Source organism: Homo sapiens, chromosome 17 (genome assembly GCF_000001405.40).
Source record: "Homo sapiens chromosome 17, GRCh38.p14 Primary Assembly".
Lineage (NCBI taxonomy): Eukaryota > Metazoa > Chordata > Mammalia > Primates > Hominidae > Homo > Homo sapiens.
Window position 1 is genome coordinate 55445080 of NC_000017.11, and position 25596 is coordinate 55470675.

General features: G+C 43.1%; 1 protein-coding gene across 1 annotated transcript in view, besides 1 other annotated feature; it reads right to left on the reverse strand.

Annotated features, from left to right (window-relative positions):
- Window positions 1-4776: 4776 nt before the first annotated feature.
- Window positions 4777-25596, reverse strand: part of SMIM36 (small integral membrane protein 36) — an 82292-nt gene continuing 61472 nt past the window's right edge. The window contains exons 4-5 of the mRNA NM_001395421.2: window positions 22066-22249; window positions 4777-5219 (exon numbers count right to left, since the gene is read on the reverse strand). The gene's annotated coding sequence lies outside the window, so the exon portion shown is untranslated. The remainder of the gene's footprint in view (window positions 5220-22065; window positions 22250-25596) is intronic.
- Window positions 13979-14088: an enhancer, noted in NCBI's record as "active region_12415". NCBI's record gives its function as "activates an Ori minimal core promoter by ATAC-STARR-seq in GM12878 lymphoblastoid cells {active_cell/tissue: GM12878}" and the evidence as "EXISTENCE:reporter gene assay evidence [ECO:0000049][PMID:35858748]".

Genomic DNA, 25596 nt, shown 5'->3' on the forward strand with positions numbered 1-25596 from the left:
TGTAGGTAGTTGAAGATTTACAGAGTGTATTTCCTACTCTTGGTGGAAAATGAAATTCAGGAAGTGAAGGTTGAGACTTGAACTTAGCATGCCAATCCTGACCATTTCTGGCCTGAGGGATGACTCACCCTTTAAAGTTTCCCCAAATGTCCCCCTGCTCCAACCCTGAACGTCCTGCCTCAGATCACAAGGGGTCTCAGCACTTGGTTACCAGATGAACAGACTCCTAGGGTGGAAGGAAGGCAGGGAGCAGCTATGGGGGATACTTTTAAAGTAAGACCATATAAAACTTTAGAAGGAAAGTGATTTGCCCAGCCTTGAGAGACTTTCTTTAAAAAATTCATAATTGAATAAAATAGAACAGATTGGTTGTGAAACCGATTATTTTGAGTGCTGGTTACAGCAAGTCTAAGTTGGAAAAGATCTTATAATTTTGTGAAACTCTTAATTTCACAAGAGAAGGGCCCAGAGAGGTAAAAATTATGTCTCTTAGGCCCCACAGTCGTTAATTGTAGAGGATTGAACAAATGTCTAGATATACTCAGACCACTTGACTGCTTCCCCTTCCTACCATCAAAACAAAATGAACTGACCCCTCAATCAAAAACTGAGATATATTCTGGTAGGAATGACATCATTTTATTATTATAAAACTTCCTAAAAGGTGGAGTTTCAGCAATAGCAGTAACTGCATTAATGAATATTTAAGAAGTAATAAAGGGAAGGCTTGAATTGTGTGAACCACGAAAGCACTAAATAATCTAGAATTCAGGTAGGGGTTTTTGATTATAAGCTTGCATCAGGTCTGTTTTTGGCATTTCTTGGAAATGAAGTAATTCACTGCAGGCTTGTCAAGAATTGGTCTTGGGGCCGGGCGCGGTGGCTGATGCCTCTAATCCCAGCACTTTGGGAGGCCGAGGCAGGTGGATCACCTGAGGTCAGGAGTTCGAGATCAGCCCGGCCAACATGGCAAAACCTCATCTCTACTAAAAAATACAAAAATTAGCAGGCGTGATGGCGTGCACTTGTAATTCCAGCTACTTGGGAGGCTGAAGCAGAAGAATTGCTTGAACTCAGAAGGCAGAAGTTGCAGTGAGCCAAGATTGCACCACTGGACTCCAGCCTGGGCAACAGAATGAGACTCTGTCTCAAAAAAAAAAAAAAAAAAATTGCTCTTGACATGGTCTCATGTTCTCTGCTTGAGAAATCTCCATTATATAATGGAATATTTTGAGTAGCAAGGCAAAGTGACTAGGAATGACAGCTTGCTTCAACTGCTGTCTGATCCAGGGCAAGCTTTTCAGTTTCTTCATCACTGAAGTGAGAAGAATATTACTGACTATCTCATAGAGCTGTGGAGATTAAATGAGTTGCTAATATAATGTCTTAACAGCCCTGCCTGGCACTAGTACACACTCTGTAAAGATTAGCTGTTATTATTACCAAGAAAGGTTGCAGTACTTAAACTTTCTTAAGTGGTCTTTTGATAAAGATCCCCAGGACATGGTAAGAAAAAGGACGGTTAGTCTCTGTATGTAATGGTGATAGACAGGGAAACAACAACCACAAGAAAATCTCAGATCAGTGATTTCTGTTGGAGACCAGATTATTCAGTACCGAGACTGGAAAGAAGGAGTGTCTCTCCTATCAGGTTTGGGGTTAAAGTTTCAAATTGTAATTCAATTCATTAAAACATTGCCAAATATGGCTATTGGACAGGTATTGTGCCAAATACCCAGGAATGGGAGACAAGGATGGTGAGCTTACACACTACAGTCTAGTGACCTGGAAAATTCCATGACACTGGCTGAAGGGAATCACTCTATTTACTCTCGTTATTGCTGTTATTTGTAAGCTTCCAGAGCTTTATTTATTTTTCTTTTAGTTCTTTAATTATTCTCAAAGTTCAAACAGAGTTAGATCCACAGGATAAAACAGCAGATAAGGCCATCTACAGAAGGGACTTACGAGGATGTGGCTAGATAATATTCAATGAGTGATGTGTTAACATTCTTTCCACCCATCCAGTTGTCATCTGAAAAACAACCTCAGGTCAGGAAATTAGCTCAGGGTAGACATGAGAAGCTAAGGTTTCTTCATAGGAGGTTTTTGCTTTGTCTGGAGATCAGTATTATCACTACTAATTTTTTCCTCCTATATGATAATTTATCACATGTCACACAGATGGGCTCAAACCCTGGCTTCCCCTAATAGTGGCTATGAGGCTTGAGACAATCAGTCTCTCAGTTTCCATATCCTTTTATTTTATTATAGTAAAATATACATAACATAAAATTTATCATTTTAACCATTTTTTTTTCTTCTTTGAGATGGACTCTTGCTCTGTCGCCCAGGCTGGAGTGCAGTGGCGCGATCTCAGCTCACTGCAAGCTCCGCCTCCTGGGTTCACACCATTCTCCTGCCTCAGCCTCCCGAGTAGCAGGGACTACAGGTGTCCGCCACCACGCCCGGCTAATTTTTTTGTATTTTTAGTAGAGACGGGGTTTCACCGTGTTAGCCAGGATGGTCTCAATCTCCTGACCTCGTGATCCGCCCGCCTCGGCCTCCCAAAGTGCTGGGATTACAGGCTTGAGCCACTGCACCCAGCCCATTTTAACCATTTTTAAGTGTACGGTTCAGTAGCATTAAGAACATTCGCAATGTTGTACAACCATCATCACTATCCATTTCCAGAACTGGTTCATCATCCCAAGCAGAAACTCTGTGCCCATTGAATGATAACTTCCATTCCCCTCCATGTGGCCCCTGGTAATCACTACTCTACTTTCTGTCTCTATAAAACTTGCCTGTTCTAGGTACCTCATGTAAGTGGAATCATATAATATTTCTCCTTTTGTATATCGTTCATTTCATTTAGCATAATGTCTTAAGGTTCATCCATGTTGCAGCATGTATCAGAATTTCATTCCTTTCTAAGACTGAATAATCTTTCATTATATATATATATATATATCACATTTTCTTTATCCGTTCATCTATCAATGGACATTTCAGTTGTTTCCACCTTTTGGCTATTATGTTCATATCTGTTAAAGGGGATGTAATATCTATTTCACAGATTGTTGTGAGGGTAAGATAACCAGGAAAAGGCCTGGTATATAGTAGGTGCTCAGTTAATGCTATGTTTTTTTCTCCCTGGCATAAGTTATTTATTTATTTATTTATTTATTTATTTATTTTATTTATTTTTGAGATGGAGTCTTGCTCTATTGCCCAGGCTGGAGTGCAGTGGGGCAATCTCGGCTCACTGCAAGCTCCGCCTCCCGGGTTCACGCCATTCTCCTGCCTCAGCCTCCCAAGTAGCTGGGACTACAGGTGCCCGCCACCACGCCTGCCTAATTTTTTTGTATTTTTAGTAGAGACAGGGTTTCACCGTGTTAGCCAGGATGGTCTCGATCTCCTGACCTCGTGATCCACCCGCCTCGGGCTCCCAAAGTGCTGGGATTACAGGCTTGAGCCACCACGCCTGGCCAAAAGTTCTTATATTTCCTTTAAGGCCCAAGTAAAGGAGTGTGATGAAAGGGACCGGATAATTCTTTTCCTATTTCTGTGCCTCTTTTGATTTCTCTGTTATAACTTCTCTAATTAATGCTTGGCTCTTCAAATTATTTACGGGAGGAAGTATTCCAGAGGATATGGTCGGGTGTTGGGAGGGGGAGGTGGGGGAGATGGGCAGGATGAGGGTAGAAGACAGAAACAGACATCCAGTTAGTTATATGTTGCTAAGCCTAAGAATATTTGCTGGCTGAAGGATCTGTTAACTTTTTCCAAAACGGTAATAGTGCTTACTGCAGAGATAGCGATCTTTGAAACTTGACCCTCCTTATTGCAAAAGCCCCAAGTGTTCAGATCTGGGCCATCAGGACTGGAAAATGAAGATGTTTTACCTCACTTCATCCTTTTCTTCTTCTAGGGCAGCTACTTCATGCCAATATGCAGTAGGATAGGGCAAAAGGTTGTGTTTTTCTTCTGTAACTTAAAGGAAATAATGTATTTCAAAGGATCCTGAGAAAGACCATATTTATTCTTGAATTCTTGTGGAATGTAAGTGGTATAAGGGCTTCTGGGGAAGCCAACTGTAGTAAGTCCCTCTCTTTAGAAAGCAAATGTCTAGACAGCTGGAGGGACCTGTCTATCCAGGGTCATAAACAAGTTGGTTTAGAGTAGGGACTAAAATCTTGATCACTTTACATCTAGCTAAGTATGTTCTTTTGTGCCTTACAGATCAACTGGTGTAAAGCTGATTTTCCAAACTTCGAGTTTTAAGGGAAATGGATAGGATACTCTTTTTTAAAATTATTTTTATTATTTTATGACAGAGTCTTGCTCTGACGCCCAGGCTGGAGTGCAGTGGCGCAATCTAGGCTCACTGCAACCTCCACCTCCCCAGTTCAAGTGATTCTCGTGCTTCGGCCTCCCAAATAGCTGGGACTACAGAATCATGCTGCCACGCCCAGCTCATTTTTTTGTATCTTTAGTAGAGAGGGGGTTTCGCCATGTTGGCTAGGCTGGCCTGGAACTCCTGACATCAAGTGACCTGCCCGCCTTGGTCTCCCAAAATGCTGGGATTACAGGAGTGAGGCACTGCGCCTGGCCCAGGATACTCTTACTAAAGGGTTTCTGGAAGTTTCTTTTGGGAGCAGCACTCATTGAGTAACCGTCTACTCTGTGCAAAGCCCAATATTGAGCACTATGAAGGAGAAATGAAAGAAACAAAAGTCATGGAATAGGGACCCTGGAAAAAGGAAAAATGGATACCTGAAAATATTATGCGGGTTTATTTGGGTTGGGGTGATCACTGATAGATAGATGCAATGGATTGAAGGATGATCCCCCAAAAGACACGCCCATGTCCTTATCTCCAGAAACTGTGACTATTATTTTATGTTGTAAAATATTGAACATGACTTTATATGACATAAGATATGATTAAGTTAAATCTTGACAGTAGGAGTTTTTCCTGGAGTACCCAGATGGACCCTAAATGCAATCACAAGTATGAAGAGAGGCAGGAGAAGTTTTGAGAGAGAAGAAGAGGCAGCAGTATGACCAGGTAGGTTAAGATTTCAGTGATGTGATCACAAGCCAAGGAACTCCTGGAACCACCAAAAGGTAGAAGAGGCAAGCAATAGATTTTCTCCTGCAGCCTTCGGAGGGAGTACAGCCCCTCTGACACCTTGATTTCATACTCCTGGCTTCTAGAATATGAAAGAAAAAAAATTTCTGTTGTTTTAAGACACTCATTGTGTGCTAAATTGTTACAGCAGTCAAGTGAAAACTAACAGCATATCTAATCTTTGACCTTTTACATTTCCTCGTTGCTTTCTCTCAAGGGGTGTGGGGCAAATTCCTTATTCTTTTCTATCTAGTTCTGCTGCCATCAGAAGCATAGAACATGGATCTCACAGTGTTGCAAGTAGATCACTTAGTCTCCTTTGGTTTCATTTCACAGAGAACATGGTGGAGGCTCAGAGAAGTGAAGCGACTTGCCCACATTTACACAGTTGCTGAGTGTGAGCCCAGACGTGGAACCCGGGTGCAATACCCAGATAGTACTCCTTGCTTTCTGCTTACAGCCTAGAGAGAGGGAACTTGCAGCTGAGTTAGGAGACAGAGGCTCACAAGCACAAGGCAATACTGGCAGAGCGTAGACAACAGGTTTAGGCACCCGTGAGTCTACACAGTAACACTGGAGAGTCCACCAACTTTACCTCCAAGAAGACATCTCTAATCTGCCCACTTCTTTCCATCTCCTTTGCCAGCAACTCTCTGCTTAAAGATCCATAGTGGCTTCTTTTTTTTTTGAGACGGAGTCTCGCTCTGTCACCGAGGCTGAAGTGCAGTGGCACGATCATGGCTCACTGCAACCTCCGCCTCCCGAGTTCAAGCAATTCTCCTGCCTCAGCCTCTTGAGTAGCTGGAATTACAGGCATGCGCCACCACGCCTGGCTAATTTTTGTATTTTTAGTAGATATGGGGTTTCACCATGTTGGTCAGGCTGGTCTCGAACTCCTGACCTCATAATCCGCTCTCCTCAGCCTCCCAAAGTGCTGGGATTACAGGTGTGAGCCACTGTGCCCAGCCCCTAATGGCTTCTTATCATCCATAGACTAAGACCCTAATTCCAGATGGTGGCATAACAGGACCCTATATGATCCAATACTCGCACCTTCTCCAACCTCATTTTCTACCAGTGTCTCCATCCATCACCCTCCTTCAGCACCTCCAGCTGGCTGACCTTGGGTTGCCCTTGAAGCAGGCCAAGATCTTTCTTGTCTTTGTGTCTTTGCACTTGCTCTTGTCTGCCTGGAATACTTTCCCCATGGCTCTTCCTGTGGCTGACTTATGTTTTATCTTCAAGTTCCAGCTCACATAGCTCCCCACAGAGGCTTTGAAGTGGCTGTTTCCTCCATATGTTTCTTATCACAGGCTGAAACAGTCTTGTTTATTTGTTGAGTGTCTTCTCTTGTCACTAGATTAAAAATGCTATGAAAATTCTTGAGAAAGATACACCCTCTTTGTACCTGGCACAGTGCCTGACAGTGTAGGTACTTAATAAATATCTGTTGAATGAATGAATTTACCAGTTTTCCTAAACTGGGCTACCTAAGGAATTTACTATATATTTCCTGCACAAAAGATTTAAGACTCTTTCTTTCCTCCTGAACAATGCATATCAAAGTCTCTGAAAAATTCTAAAGAAAACTAAATTTAGACTGTATGCAGGGGCTGATGCCTGTAATCCTAGCATTTTGGGAGGCCAAGGCAGGAGGACCACTTGAGGCCAGGAGTTCGAGACCAGTCTGGGCAGCATAGTGAGACCTTGTCGCCACAAAAAATAAAAAGATTTTAAAAATTAGACAGGCAAGGTGGTGGGTGCCCTCAGCAACTTGGGAGGCTGAGGAGGGAGGATCACTTGAGCCCAGGAGTTTGAGGCTGCAGTAAGCTATGATTGGGCCACTGTACTCCAGCCTGGGTGACAGCATAAGACTCAATCTCTACAAAAAAAAAAAAAAAAAAAAAAGGAAACACTTTTAATAAGCCTGGCATATTTGACCCACATATGGTTTTAATAAGCCCAAGTGTATTTGGCCATACATCCTATTGTTCAGGAGTTTGTGTAAATGTTCCTGAATATAGATGTTCCCCAGAACAGTTAGAGAACTCTTGGTGTAGAAACTGGTAACAGCTGAATCCAGTTAAATCACCAGTTCATTTGAAAATATCCAGTTGACTCCAGGCAGCAGTATGTGTGTATACACACAGTTTCGTGTATATAAACAGCAGAGTGAAGTTGCTAACAGAGCTGGGGTAGTGATAGTGATAGGGGAGGAAAACTCATAGGGCTGGAGAGGTGGGGGATTATGACCTCGGCCATGGATTTCAAATTCTGTCTGGAGGTAACTTAGAGTGGAGCAAGTTCTCAGCTTCTCAAGGGGAGTTTGACCGTGAGTCTGGACAAATCAAGAGCTTGCCATGAACAGCACACAGAAAGATCCAGCTCTGCTGCCTCCACGTGCTCTGCTCACATAGTGGCCATCCTGTTCCAGAAAATGGGCTTTGTCATCACTTGGCTCACATCCTGTCTCTGGGTGACCTGAGAGTGACCTATAAATGTTTGACTTTGCTTTCTAATAGAAAAAATAATGCTGTCAGTCGTTGCTGTATATTTTGGGTACTCTCCTCCTCTGTAAATTGTGTCTTTCCTTAGACATATAATTCCAGTGACAACAAAGCCATTAGGTCAACACTCACTAAATAAATTTTTTAAAAACCCAACACTTTGATAGAGAGGGAAGTAAGATGCTCAGTGATCTAAGTCTCCATAGGGAGGGCTAGGAATGGGTGGCTGTGTTTGGACACTCTTACCACATCCTTTTCTCTGAAGTACACCACCTGGGCAGTTCCTTAGAATGTGAGACCACGGGCTGGGTGTGGTTGGCTCATGCCCATAATCCCAGCACTTAGGGAGGCTGAGGCAGAAAGATCACTTGAGCCCAGGAGTTCAAGGCCAGCCTGGACAACATAATGACACTCTATCCCCAACACACAACAAAATTTTTAAATTAGCCAGGCCTGGTGGTAAACACCTGTAGTCCCAAGCCACTTGCAAGACTGAGGCGGGAAGATGGCTTGAGCCCAGGAGTTTGAGGCTGCAGTGAGCTATGATCAAGCCGCTGTACCCCAGCCTGGGTGACATAAATAAGTAAGTAAATAAATAAATAAATAAAAAGTGAACCCATGCAGTTAGGTTTTGAAGCATTTAGGTTACTCCTGTTTTCTACTCTTCTGCCTTCCTTTCACGTTTAAAGGCCTGCAAACCATATAAATCATCCCATAGGTTTCTTGGCAAGTTCAGCACTGATCCAAATAAAATATACCAGGATCTTTGTTCTGGGAATGGCAGTAACGATTTCCAGGTTGTTTTTAAAAATAATAGTGTATTTTTAAACTTTTTATTCAAGTATAACATATATGCCAAAAGTGCACATATCATTGGTGTACATAGAGTGGATTCTTAGAAGTTGAACACACGCTAATAACTAGCACTGAGAACAAGAATCAGAACATTACCAGATCCCCTGGAAGCCCCTACTGTTCCCTCCCACCCCTGCAGGTAGGAATACACCACAATTTATTTATTAGTTCTACTATTAATGGGAGATTCCCAGGTTTTAACAGTAAAATAGATATTTAGAGTAGTTGGGTCAAGACTAAGTAGGGCAGTGGGATAGATCTTCATTGGGTGATGTCTGAAATAACTTAGTGTTTTCCCCTTTTGAGGATTAGTAGCAGAACTCTCTGATTCTCTAGGAAATATCTACCTGCATGGCAGCATGGGAATTTGCAGTCTGGTCTGACTCCATTAGTTCTCTGTGCATAGAAATGTCAGGCTGGAAGGGGATCAGGGCAAGTTAGAGCCAAGCCCACTTCCTCTTCTCTCCAGCGGAAGGGTCATTAGCAGCTGACCACCAGTGTCAGCTGGGCAGCGATGGAACTGTTGACAAAACCAGAAGTAACTTTCCTAGGAAGTTGGTTTTAAGTAGGTGTTTGGTGTGAGTCTTTGGAATATTCATATTTAAAAAGTGGGTTTAGAAAGATGTTTATTAAAAAGGAGGAAATGTTAAGAGATAAATGAAGCCCCCAAATAAATTATCTCAGACAAAACAAGCTTTCAAAATAAGATAGGAAAAACTGAGAAAGGAAAGTGTCCTGTAGCATTTTGATGTGCATTACAAAAGAGAAAGAACCGCTGAGGTCAGCAATCATCCTGGCTGGATTTACCTCCTCACTAAAAAATAAAAAAGCTGCAGGGATTACCGTTAAAAAACTCACAAAACGAATACCTGTATTGTTTTGCTTTTAAAAGGATCACACGTTATTTTTTAAGACCTAGAAAACATAGATCAACAGAAAGTAAAAATTTTTAATGTTAATTTAACAACTGGGGATAACCACTCATTAACATTTTAATGAGTATCCTTTGAGTCTATATACATGTATTTACACGCCTTTTACATTAATGATGATAGTATACGTACTGCTGTGAAACTTGCTTTAAAAAAGTGTGTTATGGGCTTTCTATGCTTACAATACATTTTTAGTGAAATAAAGCAAGATAAACTTGCACAGGCAAGTTTAAAACCTCTGGCTTCTTATTTGAGGAAAACATAATACAGAAGGTAAAATAATCAAAACAAATTTAAAATCTTCACGATGCATCATAAATATTTTCCCATGCCAGTGACTACTGTTCTACAACATGAGATTTAATGACCATATTTTTTTTCATCGTGAAGAGATACCATAATTTAATGTATTCCCTATGTGTGGGCATTAGGCAATTTTGCATTATTCATTACTAGAACAAACACTGCAATGGATAGTCTTAGAGAGAACTATCTGTGCACATTCATTATTGTTTACTTAGAATAAATTCCTGGAAGAGACATTGCTCAGTCAAAAGCTATGCCCTTTTCAAAGCATTTTGATACTGATTTCCAAATTTCCCTCTGGAGAGGTTGTACTGATTTACAGCCCACCAGCAGTGTTTATGAGTGTTTGCCAATGCTGAGTAAGTGCAAGCATTTAAAGAAGGCTTTGGAAATATGATAGGGAATACATGGTAGCTTGTGGATTCTTTAACCCGTGTTGTGTATAGAGTGTAAATCCTCATCTGGTCTCCGATGCCTTTCGCAACAGGATTGCCACCTATCTCTCTGGCCTCATTTCATCTCCTTCTATTCCTCTCCCACCACCCCCACGCTGCCCCCCTCCCCACACTGTTGTTCAAACAGGATTCATACATTCTTAGCTTTGTGCTTTTTCTCCCTAGATGACACTCATATTCCATCCACTGTCACCTTAGCCTTCCGTAATCGCTTAAAATCTATTAATATCATTTGAGACTGGGTGCAGTGGCTCATGCCTATAATCTCAGCAACTTGGGAGGCCAAGGTGGGAGGATCAGTTGAGCCCAGGAGTTTGGGACCTGCTTGGGCAACATAGTGAGACCTCGTCTCTACGAAAAATCAAAAAAATTAGCCAGTCATGGTGGAGCATGCCTGTGGTTTCAGCAACTCCAGGAAGGCTGAAGTGGGAGGATTGCTTGAATTCGGGAGGTTCGGGCTGCAGTGAGCTGTGATCATGCCACTGCACTCCAGCCTGGGTGACAGAAGGAGAGCTGTTTCAAAAACAAAAACAAACAAACAAACAAACAAAAACAAAAAAAACATGCTGGGTGCGGTGGCTCACACCTGTAATCCCAGCACTTTGGGAGGCCGAGGCACATGGATCATTTGAGGTCAAGAGTTTGAGACCAGCCTGGCCAACACGGTGAAACCCTGTTTCTACTAAAAATACAAAAATTAGCTGAGTGTGGTAGGACGCACCTGTAATCCCAGCTACCTGGGAGGCTGAGGTGGGAGAAAAGCTTGACCCCAGGAGGCGGAGGTTGCAGTGAGCCAAGACCGCACCATTGCACTCCAGCCTGGGCAACAAGTGCAAAACTGTCTCAAAAAAAAAAAAAAAAAAAAAAAAAAAAAGGATCATTTGAAACTGTTTCAAAGTCCATATCCCTCATCAGGTCTTTTCTTGTTCCTCCCAAGCAAAGGGACTCTTTTGCTTCTTCTCCTGTAATTGTTTTATGGCAGTTAATTTTCCCTATACAAGTCACATCCATAGTTCCAGAATGAGGGCTACGGCCCATTCTTAATTGTCTCCTGTACTAGGGGCAAGTCACCTTTCCCTGCTGTGCCTCAGTTTTCTCATCTGTAAAGCACAGAAGTCTGATTCAGATTAGATGATTTTTAAGTACCAATTCACCTTTAACAATTTATCATTCCATCTTTTTTCCCACAGTAGACAAACCTATCCATCAATTCTTCCATATGACTTATTGCACAACCAGGACAGTGATCCCTAAATTTCTTAAGGCCACAGATGCCTTTGAGAATCTGAAGAAAGCCCTGAGCCCTAATTTTCCGCAAATTAATTTAGAGATATGGGCATTCAAGGACAATGTGATTGTTAAACAGTCTGTTTAAGGGCCCAAGATTAAGAACTTGGCTGTTTAAGTCTGTGTTTGTTTGTGTTTCTCTTGAATATAGTAGGAAGGTTCAATAAATATTTTTCAATGTGAATCATATTCAAACAGGAAGGTGAATACTAAAAAATAATTATGTGGGTTTTCTCTTGGGACTTAATTATAAGTTTCATTACTTTCAGGTCACCCTTGGTGTTAAATCTCCACTCATGTCAACACATTAAAAAGGCAAATTGAGAGGCTTTCAAAGTACATTCAAAATAGGCCATGCCCTTTAGTCTTTTAGGCACCATTAAACATCCAGCATTTTGATAAATCCTACATAGCAGTTAGTGATTTCAGATTTCCTGTGTGAGAGGATTGCGAATGGGTAAGCAGTTATAATGTAATGTTTTTCCTCAAACATGAGGACACAGATTTTTGTGAGATTAATTCATGGTCATAAGAGTAGATTGGGAAAGGATAAAAGGATAAACCAGGCAGTTTTCAAATAAATCTGCCTTATTAGAAAATATATAAATGGGCCAGTTGTGGTGGCTCATGCCTGTGATCCCAGCACTTCGGGAGGCTGAGACGGGCGGATCACGAGGTCAGGAGACCAAGACCATCCTGGCCAATATGGTGAAACCCCATCCCTACTAAAAATACAAAAAAAATTAGCTGGGCATGGTGGTGTGCACCCGTAGTCCTAGCTACTCAGGAGGCTGAGGCAGGATAATTGCTTGAACCCAGGAGGCAGAGGTTGCAGTAAGCTGAGATCTCACTATTGCACTCCAGCTTGGGTGACAAGAGTGAAACTCCGTCTCAAAAAAAAAAAAAAAAAAAGAATAGAATAAAATAAAATTGACAGCTCTCGAGATCTTTAAAAAAATTTTTTTTATTTTTATTTTTTGTTTTTGAGACGGAATTTTGCTCTCGTTGTCCAGACTGGAGTGCAATGGTGCGATCTTGGCTCACTGCAACCTCCGCCTCCCGGGTTCAAGCCATTCTCCTGCTTCAGCCTCCCGAGTAGCTGGGATTACAGGCGCCCACAACCATGCCCAGCTAATTTTTGTATTTTTAGTAGAGACGGGATTCACTATATTGGCCAGGCTGGTCTCGAACTCCTGGCCTCAGGCAATCCCCCCACCTCAGCCTCCCAAAGTGCTGGGATTAAAGGCTTGAGCTACCGCGCCGGCCTTTTGTTAATTAAAAAAATAAAAAAATGTTGACATCTGTAGAGATCTTTATCTGGCTATCTCACTAAAGGGAAAAATACTTGACTATGTCATTAATCCAAAGGATGATGCCTGTTCTTGAGATTAGTGGAGGTACAGAATTGGGATTTGCCTGCTAGCTGAACATTTTCATGCGAGTATGTGCTCTCCGCTTTTAGAGTGTGTCTTTTCTCTATTGTTTCTCCTTCCTACTTTACATTAAAGGGAGATGAATGCAATATATACTACTTAGTTTGGGGGTATAAATTCTGTATTGTGAACCTGGATTATTGTTCTCTCTTTAGAACCAATTATTTGGTGTAGTTCAGCAGTAAAACCAAGAATAATGACATGATCCGCTATCTGGATGTTCTATTACTCACTTTCTCCAATTGTTCCTACATCCAAGCAAACAGGCCCCCAGTCACAATCTGCAGCGACAGCAGTTTAATTAATATTCCTTCTGACAATGCTGGTGTAGCTGTTGGTGACTTCCACTTGCGTGGAATTAATATGGGAGTGCTGGGAAGGGAAGACCCTGGTCTCTTTAAATAATAGGAAACCGGGGAAGGGAAGTGCAGGGTAGAGGAGGGCGTGGTCCCTTGTTAGGGATCCACCCCACGGACCTAGGTGAGGACAGACATTTCCTGCCCAACTGTTGCATTTCCCGACACCACCCTGGCCTGCCACGCCCCATCCTGTACCTATAATAACCGTTCTCCACCCCCACCCCCCGCCCCGTACCACACACACATCCTAGCGGGCAGCCACACATCAAAAGGAGCACGTCGGCTGAAGAAGACACAAGCAGCTGGTCGTTGAGAAGAGCTCGCAGAAGAGCATGCCTCCTCTGCGGCCGAAGAGCATGCCCGCAGGCAGTGGAGTCTGGCCAGGGCAGTCTGGCCAGGGCAGTGGGAGGACAGCCGGGCTGCTGAGAGGCCCAACTGCAGGGGAAGACTACCTCCCTTGTGGATCCTCCGTCCGCTGAGAGCTACCTCCACGCAATAAAATTTTACACTCATTCTCCAAGCCCACGTGTGATTTGCTTCTTCCAGTACACCAAGGCAAGAAACCCCGGGGTACAGAAATCCCTCTGTCCTTGTGATAAGGAAGAGGGTCTAATTGAGCTGGTTAATTCAAGTGGTCTGTAGATGGCAAACTGAGAGCACCCTGTAACACACGCCCACTGGGGCCTCAGGAGCTGTCAACATTCACCCCTATACACTACTAACATTCATCCCTAGACACTGCCATGGGGTCGGAGCCCCACAGCCTGTCCGTGTGTATGCTTCCCTAGAGGTTTGAGCAGCGGGGCACTGAAGATGCGAGCCCCACCCCCATCACACGCCCTGAGAGGGGGATTCCCATTTCAGAATAAGAAGTTGACTCACACCATTGATTAATTCGGTTTTGAATGTTTTGTGTTGTTCTAAGTCATCTCTAGGTGACCTGGGCTTGAGTCATCTCTCCAGAGAGTCATTGGATCAAATTTTCTGCAGCTAGGTCCTAGATTTTTTTTGTTGTTGTTCAAATTTATCCTTCTGAAAATATGGCAAAACCTATTTGGTATATGTCCAATATGTGTGGCATATATGGGTCTTTTATGAATTTGAATTTAAGGGACAAAAGTTGGCATAACTATCCTTGCCTCAGGGAAGTTGTCCCTGAATCTCAAGGTGAGGGTAGGTCTACTGTTAGAAATCCTCATACTGTTCAGTTCTTTACAATTTTAGACTTACTGCTATCATATTTATATAGTTGATTATGCAATTATTTGTTTACTGTCTTCCTTCATAAGGAACTATGTCCTTTAAAATGATTTCTCTACCCCAAAGGTTTAGCAACATGCCTAGAATAGATGCTAAAAATGATTTCTTGGCTGGGCATGGTCACAACTGTAATCGGAGCACTTTGGGAGGCCAAGGCAGGAGGCGCGCTTGAGCCCAGAAATTCGAGACCAGCTTTGGCAGTATGGCAAGACCCTGTCTCTACAAAAAATAAAATAAAAAGCTAGGCATGGTGGCATGTGCCTATAATCCCAGCGACTTTGGAGGCTAAGGCAGGGGGATTGTGCCTAGGGGTTGGTGGCTGTAGTAAGCTATGATAGCACCACTGCACTCAGCCTGGGCAACAGAGTGAGACCCTGTTTCTCAAATAAATAAATAACATAAAAATATTTATTGAACAAATTGTTACTATGTATTATTATCACTACTAGTAGTAGTAACATTTGTAGAGGTCTTTGCAGTTTTCAAAGTCCTATATGTTGTTAACTCATCATCCATAGATCTTAAAAACATAATGCTGGCCAGGCATGGTGGCTCACGCCTGTAACCCCAGCACTTTGGGAGGCCGAGGCAGGTGGATCACAAGGTCAGGAGTTCAAGACCAGCCTGGCCAAGATGGTGAAACCCTGTCTCTACTAAAACTACAAAAATTAGCCAGGTGCGGTGGCAGGTGCCTGTAATCCCAGCTACTTGGGAGGCTGAGGCAGGAGAATCGCTTGAATCTGGGCAGCAGAGGATGCAGTGACCCTAGATTGTGCCACTGCATTCCAGCCTGGGCGACAAGAGTGAGACTCTGTCTGGAAACAAAAAACAAAAAACAAAACAAAAAAAAAGAACAACAACAACAAAAAAGCTATAATGCTAAGTGAAAACAAAACAGCACAAGCTTGATGCCATTTATGTAATGGCATAAAATACCATTTACGTAAATTTAAAACATATAAATAGGCCGGGAGCAGTGGCTCACGCCTGTAATCCCAGCACTTTGGGAGGCCGAGGCGGGCAGATCACGAGGTCAGGAGATCGAGACCATCCTGGCTAAAACGGTGAAACCCATCTCTACTAAAAAATACAAAAAAATTAGCTGGGCATGGTGGTGGGTGCCTGTAGTCCCAGCTACTCGGGAGGCTGAGGCAGGAGAATGGCGTGAACCCAGGAGGCGGAGCTTCCAGTGAGCCGAGACTGTGCCACTGCACTGCAGCCTGGGTGACAGAGTGAGACCCTGTCTCAAAAAAACAAAAACAAAAAAAACCATAAATACATGAATTAGCACTATGTAGGATTTAAGAATCCATGTGTACCTAAGCACATATAGTGAACAAGTGAGCTAAAGAGAAAATCTGGGAGAAGGAGATTTGTACTTGTGTAGAGAATAACTTAAGAAACATAATAAAATTAAGCAGGAGTGTGGCCTTGCACAGACTGAAGGTAATAAGATATTGGGAACTGAGAAGTATAATTAACTCTAACCTAAAGCCCAGGAGAGGTAGAAGGGAGAGATTTGTGTACATTAGACTTTGGGAAAAAATCTACAATAATTATTTGCACCATATTTTGAGTGCGTTCAATTTTCCAAACACCTGATTCTTGACTCAACATCACCTTACTCCCCCAAAGCATTGTCCTATTTTTCTTCCTTCTGTCTTTTCTCTTGCTTATACACTCTCAAAATATCCTTGCTAAAAAGAAATGATTATCCATGCAACAACATGGATAAATCTCAACACATAATACTAAATGGAAAAGCCATACTCAACAGGCTATGTACTGTACAATCCCATTTACAGGACATTCTGGAAAAGGTGAAACTATAGGGACAGAAATCAGATCAGTGATTGCCAGGGACTGTGGTGGGGAAGAGGACTGATTATAGAGAAGCAGGAGAGTTGCTTGAGTCCAGGAGTGCCAGGCTGTAGTGAGCTGTGATCATGCCACTGCACTTCAGCCTGGACAACAGAGTGAAACCCTGTCTCAAAAAAACAAAAACAAATACAAAAACAAAGAAAAAACATAAGTAAATTATTTATGTATAAATTATACTGTATATTTAAACACAGAAAGCAAACACATTTCTATGAATTTCCAGAAAAACATAATTCATTTTTATGATCTTCATTTCTTTAATGAGGCAAAAAAGCAAAAACAAAAACCAAAAACCAGAAAGTACAGACTCCCACCAGTGGTGGTATTGAATGAGTTAAATGTCTCCTTGAAATCATACTGTTTTTGATTCTGTAATGTGGTTAGTCAATAGAACAATTCAGGGCAGAGAATTCTTACGGAAGAAGGCTGCAAATGTAGGTTACATTAGGGATCCACTGAGCCACTGATCTGGAGTAACAAATGGGAAAGATTGTAGATATGGTGATAGGCAAATTCATATTTTTCTGGGTAACTTGTTAAGAAGATAGTTAAAGGTCTAGCTTGAAATAATTTTGGACAGATTTTAGGGCAAGCAGTTTGATGTTGTGGAAAGTGTATGGCCTTGGATTAAATCTTGGTTTTAGATGGATAGACTTGGGTTTGAATATTGACTTCCCCACTTAATACTTAAAAGTATGAAGTTAATATAAGTATTAAGTTAATTAATACTTATTAATACTTAATAAGAAGTATATAAAGTTAATATAAGCATTAAGTTAATTAACCTCTGGCTGTTCATTTCCTCATCTGAAAAATGGGCTAATAAAAGCTGCCATGTGCAGGGCATGGTGGCTTATGCCTGTAATCTCAGCACTTTGGGAGGCCAAGGCAGGAGGATCATTTGAGGCCAGGAATTCAAGACCAGCCTTAGCAACGTAGCAAGACCTCATCCCTACAAAAATTTAAAAAATTAGCCAGGTGGCATGTGCCTGTAGTCTTAGTAACTCAGGAGGCTGAAGTGGGAGGATCATTTGAGCCTAGGAATTTGAAGTTGCAGTGAGCTATGACAGAACCACTGCACTCCAGCCTGGGCAACAGAGTGAGATTATGTCTCTAAATAAATAAATAAAAATAAATAAATACATACAAATTTTTAAAAATCTGGCATGCAGCGTTGTCATGAGGATTTGAAATAAAGAACTAAAGCCATACTTTAGTTTTTTAAGGGACTAGCACTTGTTAGGTGCTCAACAATTCATAACACTTTAATATTTACTGTGGGTTAGAATGCACAATCTAAAATAGGTCAGGCCCAGAGACAGAATACTCAGGCCTCTGGGGTTATGAGCCTCAGATGTGGAGAGGTCCTTTGAAGGCCAATTACTGTGTCTGAGGAATGATAGAAGACTCCTCCCAACCCCCAGAAAGCTGGAAAACTCTCTGTTAAAGAGGCCTTTCCCACATGATGATAAATTTGATATCTAAGCTGGGGATTTATCTTCATTTACCCAAGAACATTTGGCCTCTGAGTCAGAAGGAAAAGGTATTTTTTCTTTTCTAATTGGAGTTCCACATGATCCTCCAGGCTATGTAATAATACATAACTGCCCCCCACCCCTTATCCTCAGGGGTATGTTCTAAGACTTCCAGTGGATACCTTAAACTTTATGTAGTTCTGAACTCAATATATACTATTATTTTTCCTATACATAATGTCTATGATAAAGCTTAATTTATAAATTAGGCACAGTAAGAGACTAATAACAATAACTAATAATAAGGCCGGACACGGTGGCTCACACCTGTAATCCCAGCACTTTGGGAGGCTGAGGTGGGAAGATTGCTTGAGCCTAGGAATTCAAAGCCAGCCTGGGCAACATAGTGAGAACCCATCCCTAAAAAAAGAAATAAAAAAAATTGTCAGCCATGGTGGCACAAGCCTGTAACTCAGTTACTTGGCTGAGGCAAGAGGATTGCTGGACCCCAGGAGTTTGAGGCAGCAGAGTTATGACTTTGCCACTGCATTCCTGCCTGGGTGACAAGAGCGAGACCCTGTTTCTAAATAATAATAATATAACAATATTCTGTAATGAAAGTTACGTAAATGTGGTCTCTTATTATACTGTACTGAGAATAAGAGGGGACTACTGTAGTACAGTTAAAGGGTAGACAAATATAATAGGAGAATGTTGATTAGTAAGTCCGTGGGTTGGTATGGTGGAAAGTGCTCTGCATTCAGAAACAGGAAGCCTGGGTAATCTGTGTTTTTTTTTCTCCCCAAAGTAGGTACTTGAGGTCACTAGTTGCTCCTTTTGGGGTTTCATTTTCTGACTATAAGAAAAGAGGATGTTGAAGGCCGGGCACCTGTAATCTCAGCACTTTGGGAGGCTAAGACAGGGGGATCACTTGAGGCCAGGAGTTCAAGACTAGCCTGATCAACATGGCAAAACCCAGACTCTACTAAAAATACAAAAATTAGCCTGGTGTGGAGGCATGTTCCTGTATCCTAGCTACTCGAGAGGCTGAGGCATGAGAATTGCCTGAACCCAGGAGGCAGAGGTTGCAGTGATCTGAGATCACGCCACTGCACTCCAGCCTGGGTGACAAAGCAAGGCCCTGTCTCAAAAAAATGAAACAAAACAAAACAAAAAAGAGGATGTTAAATGACTTTTCAGGTCATGTCCACCTAGGATATTCTACTATTCTATGGCTTGAAACTGGAGAAGGATCTTAATTAATTAATTGATTGATTTATACAAGGCTCAATATGGTATTGATTCCACGTGGAGCCCTGTGCCATGTGATGGACAGTTAATGAACAAGCTCGACCTAGGCCTTTCCTGAATTGAGCTTGTATCTATTGCAGTGCTACTTGTCTAGGGTCAGTTCCCATTCAGTGCTTTCATCTGGAACATAGAGGGCATGTTAATTCCACTTGTAGGATGTTCAGATCTGGTAGTGTTGACCAAGACATTGTATGACAGAATCAGGTTAAAAAACAAAATTAAAAAAAAAAAATTCTAGAGTTTGGAAAGATGGGCCAAGGCTCACAAGATAAATACATAAGGTATAACTCAGTACACACAGAAGGAAAGTCTTCAACTCAGGTTTAAAAGGCACAGGATAAGAAACATAGAATGGTAGCTTTAAGCATCTGATCTGTTCTTCTGTTCAGGCTCTAGTTATAGGGATTACATAGTCACAAAGTAACAATTATCACAGAGTTGAAAAAGGATTGGGCCTCCCTAAGCTCTCTCCACCTGACAGTTACACAAATGCTATTGATAAAGATGGGAACCAGTTCCCTAATCTTTTCCACTCAATCTTTTCCTTCCCTTTTCTTTCATTCGCTCCTTTGAGAGCAGGTGTGCCTTGTCTTAACATTGTATCCATTCCAGTATCTTTAGTCCATAGTTCTTGGATTTGCAAACCATAGGCAATTGATAAAATGGAAATAATACCTGACTTTATAGCAGTTCACCTGAAAATAAATTGAAGCATTTTAATTGATATCAGTCGACTGTGTGATGGAGCTGCCGGGAAATACCAAGATCATCTCGGACTACATGAATAGAAGTGTACAGTGGGCAGCAAGAGAGCTCTGTGCTCTGTGTTGGGCAGACAAGTTCATAAACAATCTGCTCCATTCTGAGTACGACATTGAATGAGCAATATTAAAATTGGAGACTGTTCAAACAAAATGAACAAATTAGGGACAGCACAGTAAAGTGTAATAATATCATTTTGGAGTCAGACAGGCTTATTCAGACCCAAGTTCTGACACTTACTATGTCACCTTGGGGAAGTTATTTAACTTCTCACAGCCTCAGTTTACTTGTCTATGTAATGGAAATAATAATAGTATCTATTTCATGGATTATGCCAAGGACTATGATCATGATGAGCAATTATCATTTACATTTGGAGGAATTAGAGTGGTTTAGCCAGAAGATTTGAAGACTTAGGAGTTGGGGTGTGGTGTGTATGGGATATTATGTCTATCTTTAGATATTTGAACAATTGCTGTTGGAGGAGTTATTGTGCTTATGTTGGGTAGATGCATATGACAGAATTAGGTCAAATAGTGGGATATGCAGAGAAGATGACATTGCCTCAACACATGGCATAAATTTTTGACAATTAGCTTTGTTTAAAAATGGAATTAAGTTCTTTCATCAGGTGGTGATTTCCAGACCACAGTGAATGTTCAAGCAGAGACTGGTTTCTGTGTCTTAGAATGGTATAGAGGAGAGTTCTGCACTGGCCAAGTGAGTTTGGGCTATTAGGGGTTCCCAAACTTGGCTGTGCAGGAGAACCATCTAGCAGTAGAGCTCAGAGTCTCTAATAAGGTCCTTAGATGGTTTTGATGAAGCCAGTCTCTGCATAGGTGATTTAGATCCACTGGACTGCAGGATGGGTGCCCTTTCACCTATATTTTGTTATAATGGGATTCCAGTAGGGAAGTGCTTTGAGCCAGGAGACAGGAAGATAAGAAAGTGCTGGCAGGGCATGGTGGCTCACCACGCTTGTAATCTCAGCACTTTGGGAGGCCGAGGTGGGCGGATCACCTGAGGTTGGGAGTTTAAGACCAGCCTGACCAACATGGTAAAACCCTGTCTCTACTAAAAATGCAAAATTAGCCTGGCATGGTGGCGGGCACCTGTAATCCCAGCTACTAGGGAGGCTGAGGTAGGAGAATCGCTTGAACCTGGGAGGCAGAGGTTGCAGTGAGCTGAGATTGCACTACTGTACTCCAGCCTGGGCAACAAGATCAAGACTCCGTCTCAAAAAAAAAAAAAAAAAAAAAAAAAGAAAGTGCCACACATATTTTGGAGTCATTTGGTTAGAAGGGAGGCTTCAAGTTTGGGAGCGGCTGGAGTCTGGTTTGAATGAGAAGTTAGGGCCAGCGTATGGAGAAATTTAGATGCTACGTGTGGGAGTTTGCAGGTTACCAAGCAGGGGTCCATGATAAATGTAGGACAAAAGAAGTTACAAATAATCACATTCTGAAAAGTTGAGCTAAATGATGAATAAGGACAAGTCCAGACATCATATTCCTTTCCTCTTGGAGTTCTCAAGCACAGAACCTGTAGCTTGAGTTGTCATCTTCCATTTTCTTCATTTCGGAGCTCCTCTTCATCGCACCCTGAGTGGTGATGATCCACAACGTTCCTGTTCCTTTCCAGGCCGAGAGAGTGGGCAGGAGGAGGAGCTTTCATTGAAGTGATTCTCTCAGCTGTATAGGAAGCACCCCGGGTCTGCTCAACAGAAAAGCCACAGTTCATGGACTTGGTGGTATCGGAGGTGCCAAGGGCTGGAAGCCAAAGTTCAGTTTCCTCTTAAGCAGCAAGTTCTTTTGCGTAAGTCCAACCTGCTGACTTGCTCCGTGTAAGTGCTTTTGTTTTTATCTCAAGGCTATTCTTAAGTTAATTAGTTGCAATTACTAGCTCTGCTGCAGTGGAATGCATAGTAACAGAAGGGGGAAATGAGGCCATCAGGGAGATGCAGTTGAGTGTTCTGAGACAACATACAGAGGAACTGCAATTCGTTACACTCACCAATTAAGTCCGAAAAAAGAAAAAACAACAACAACAACAATAAAACCAAAACTTGCTCCAAATAGAAACACAAAGGATGAGGCAAATATACTTACACAGTGTTTGTTATAATGTCTGCCCACATCCAGAGGCCACGAAATGTCCCTAAGGATGGTTTCCCATGACAGTAAGCCACAGCAGGCAGAAAGAGCAGTGGGGCTTGTTAAGAGCTATAGATTCAAAAGCTTCTTTTTATTAGCTGTCAGTCTAATTTCTATTGGGGCCAGTCAGTTCCATCACCTATAGGATGAAAACAGAGACACCAACCTCAAAGCGTGTTGGAGCCTTATATAGGAAGCACTTTTGACCATATTTTTTTTTTTTTTGAGACAGAGTCTCGCTCTGTCACCCAGGCTCTAGTGCAGTGGCGTGATCTCGGCTCCCTGCCAGCTCCGCCTCCAAGGTTCATGCCATTCTCCTGCCTCAGCCTCCCAAGTAGCTGGGACTACAGGCGCCGGCCACCATGCCCAGCTAATTTTTTGTATTTTTAGTAGAGACGGGGTTTCACTGTGTTAGCCAGGATGGTCTCGATCTCCTGACCTCGTGATCCGCCTGCCACGGCCTCCCAAAGTGCAGGGATTGCAGGCGTGAGCCACCGCACTCGGCCAACCATATTTTTAGTTTGATAAATGCAGGTTGAGTTTGCGATTGTCTCTGCTGCAACCTGGCTTTCCTGCTGGGCCATGTCAGGCCTCTGAGCCCAAGCTAAGCCATCATATCCCCTGTGACCTGCAACTGAAGAACCACAAAAGAAGTGAAAATAGGCAGTTCCTGCCTTAACTGATGACATTCCACTGTTGTGATTTGTTCCCGCCCCACCCTAACTGATCAATTGACCTTGTGACACTCCTTCTCCTGGACAGTGAGTCTCGGGAGCTCCCCACTGAGCACCTTGTGACCCCCGCCCCTGCCCACAAGAGAAAAAGCCCCTTTGACTGTAATTTTTCACTACCTACCCAAATCCTACAAAACTGTCCCACTCCTATCTCCCTTTGCTGACTCCTTTTTTGGACTCAGTCCACCTGCACCCAGGTGATTAAAAAGCTTTATTGCTCACACAAAGCCTCTTCACACGGACACGTGTAACATTTGGTGCCAAAGACCTGGGACAGAAGGACTCCTTCGGGAGACCGGTCCCCTGTCTTCGCCCTCACTCCGTGAGGAGATCCACCTATGACCTCAGGTCCTCAGACCAGCCCAAGGAACATCTCACTGATTTCAAATCGGGTAAGCAGTCTCTTCATTCTCTTCTCCAGCCTCTCTTGCTACCCTTCAATCTCACTGTCCTTCCAATTCCAGTTCTTTTTTCCTCTCTAGTAGAGACAAAGGAGACACATTTTATCCGTCAACTTAAAAACTCCGACGTCGGTCACGGATTTGGGAAGACAGCCTTCCGTTGGTGTCTGATTATAGCGGGGACGCCTGCCTTGATCATTCACCCACATTTCACTGGTGTCTGATCACCGTGGGGATGCCTGCCTTGGTCATTCACCCACTCACCACATTCCCTTGGTGGCAAGTCAATTGCTGGGATGCCTGCTTTGGATGCTCACCCACATTACAGCCTAGGGTGGCTCACCCGCCCCCTTCTCCGTGTCTCTACCTTTCTCTTTAAACTTACCTCCTTACTATGGGCAAACTTCCGCCCTCCATTCCCCCTTCTTCTCCCTTAGCCTGTGTTCTTAAAAACCTAAAACCCCTTCGACTAACACCTGACCTAAAACCTAAATGTCTTCTTTTCTTCTGTAATACCGCTTGGCCCCAATACAAACTGGGCAATAGTTCCAAGTGGCCAGAGAATGGCACTTTTGATTTGTCCATCCTACAAGATCTAGATAATGTATGTCGTAAAATGGGCAAATGGTCTGAGGTGCCTGACGTCCAGGCATTCTTTACACGTCAGTCCCTCCCTAGTCTCTGCTCCCAATGAGACTCGTCCCAAATCTTTCTTCTTTCTCTCCTGTCTGTTCCTTCAGTCTCCACCCCAAGTTCTGAGTCCTTTGAATCCTCCTTTTCTACAGACAAATCTGACCTCTCCCCTCCTCCCCAGGCTGCTCCTCACCAGGCCCAATTCTTCCTCAGCCTCCACTCCCCCACCCTATAATCCTTCTATCACCTCCCCTCCTTACACCCAGTTTGGCTTACAGTTTCGTTCCGCGACTAGCTCTTCCCCACTTGCCCCAAAATTGCCTCTGACAGAGGTGGCTGGAGCTGAAGGCATAGTCAAGGTTAATGCTGCTTTTTCTTTATCCAACCTCTCCCAAATCAGCATTTAGGCTCTTTTTCATCAAATATAAAAAGCCAGCCCAGTTCATGACCCATTTGGCAACAACCCTTAGGTGCTTTACCACCCTAGACCCAGAGGGGCCAGAAGACCATCTTATTCTCAATATGAATTTTATCACCCAGTCCACTCCTGACATTAGAAAAAGCTCCAAAAATTAGATTCCAGCTTTTGAACCCCACAGCAGGACTTAATTAACCTTGCCTTTAAGGTGTACAATAATAGAGAAGAGACAGCCAAGCAACAATGTATTTCTGAGTTGCAATTACTTGCCTCCACTGTGAGAAAAACCCCAGCCACATCTCCAGCACACAAGAACTTCAAAGGCCAAGTGCAGTGGCTCACGCCTGTAATCCCAGCACTTTGGGAGGCCGAGGTAGGCGGATCATGAGGTCAGGAGTTCGAGACAAGCCTGGCCAAGATGGTGAAACCCCATCTCCACTAAAAATACAAAAATTAGCCGGGCATGGTGGCACATGCCTGTAGTCCCAAGTCCCAGTTTGGAAGGATGAGGCAGGAGAATCACTTGAACCTGGGAGGCAGAGGTTGTGATGAACTGAGATTGTGCCATTGTACTCCAGCCTGGGCGACTGGAGTGAAACTCCATCTAAAAAAAAAACAAAAAAAAACCACAACTTCAAAACACCTAAACTGCAGCGGCCAGGCGTTCCTCCAGGACCTCCTCCCCCAGGATCTTGCTTCAAGTGCCGGAAATCTGGCCACTGGACCAAGGAATGCCAGCAGCCCAGGATTCCTCCTAAGCCATGTCCCATCTGTGCAGGTCCCCACTGGAAATCGGACTGTCCATCTTGCCCAGCAGCCACTCCCAGAGCCCCTGGAACTCTGGCCCAAGACTCTCTGACTGACTCCTTCCCCACCGATCCCAAAGGCTCTCTGATTGACTACTTCCCAGATCTTCTCTGCTTAGTGGCTGAAGACTGACACTGCCTGATCGCCTTGGAAGCCCCCTGGACCATCATAGATGCCGAGCTTTGGGTAACTCTTACAGTGGGAGGGTAAGTCTGTCCCCTTCTTAATCGATACAGAGGCTGCCCACTCCACATTACCTTCTTTTCAAGGGCCTGTTTCCCTTGCCTCCACAACTATTGTGGATATTGATGGCCAGGCTTCTAAACCTCTTAAAACTCCCCAACTCTGGTGCCAACTTGAACAACATCTTTTATGTGCTCCTTTTTAATTATCCCCACTTGCCCAGCTCCCTTATTAGGTTGAGACATTTTAACTAAATTATCTGCTTCCCTGACTACTCCTGGACTACAGCCACACCACATTGCTGCCCTTT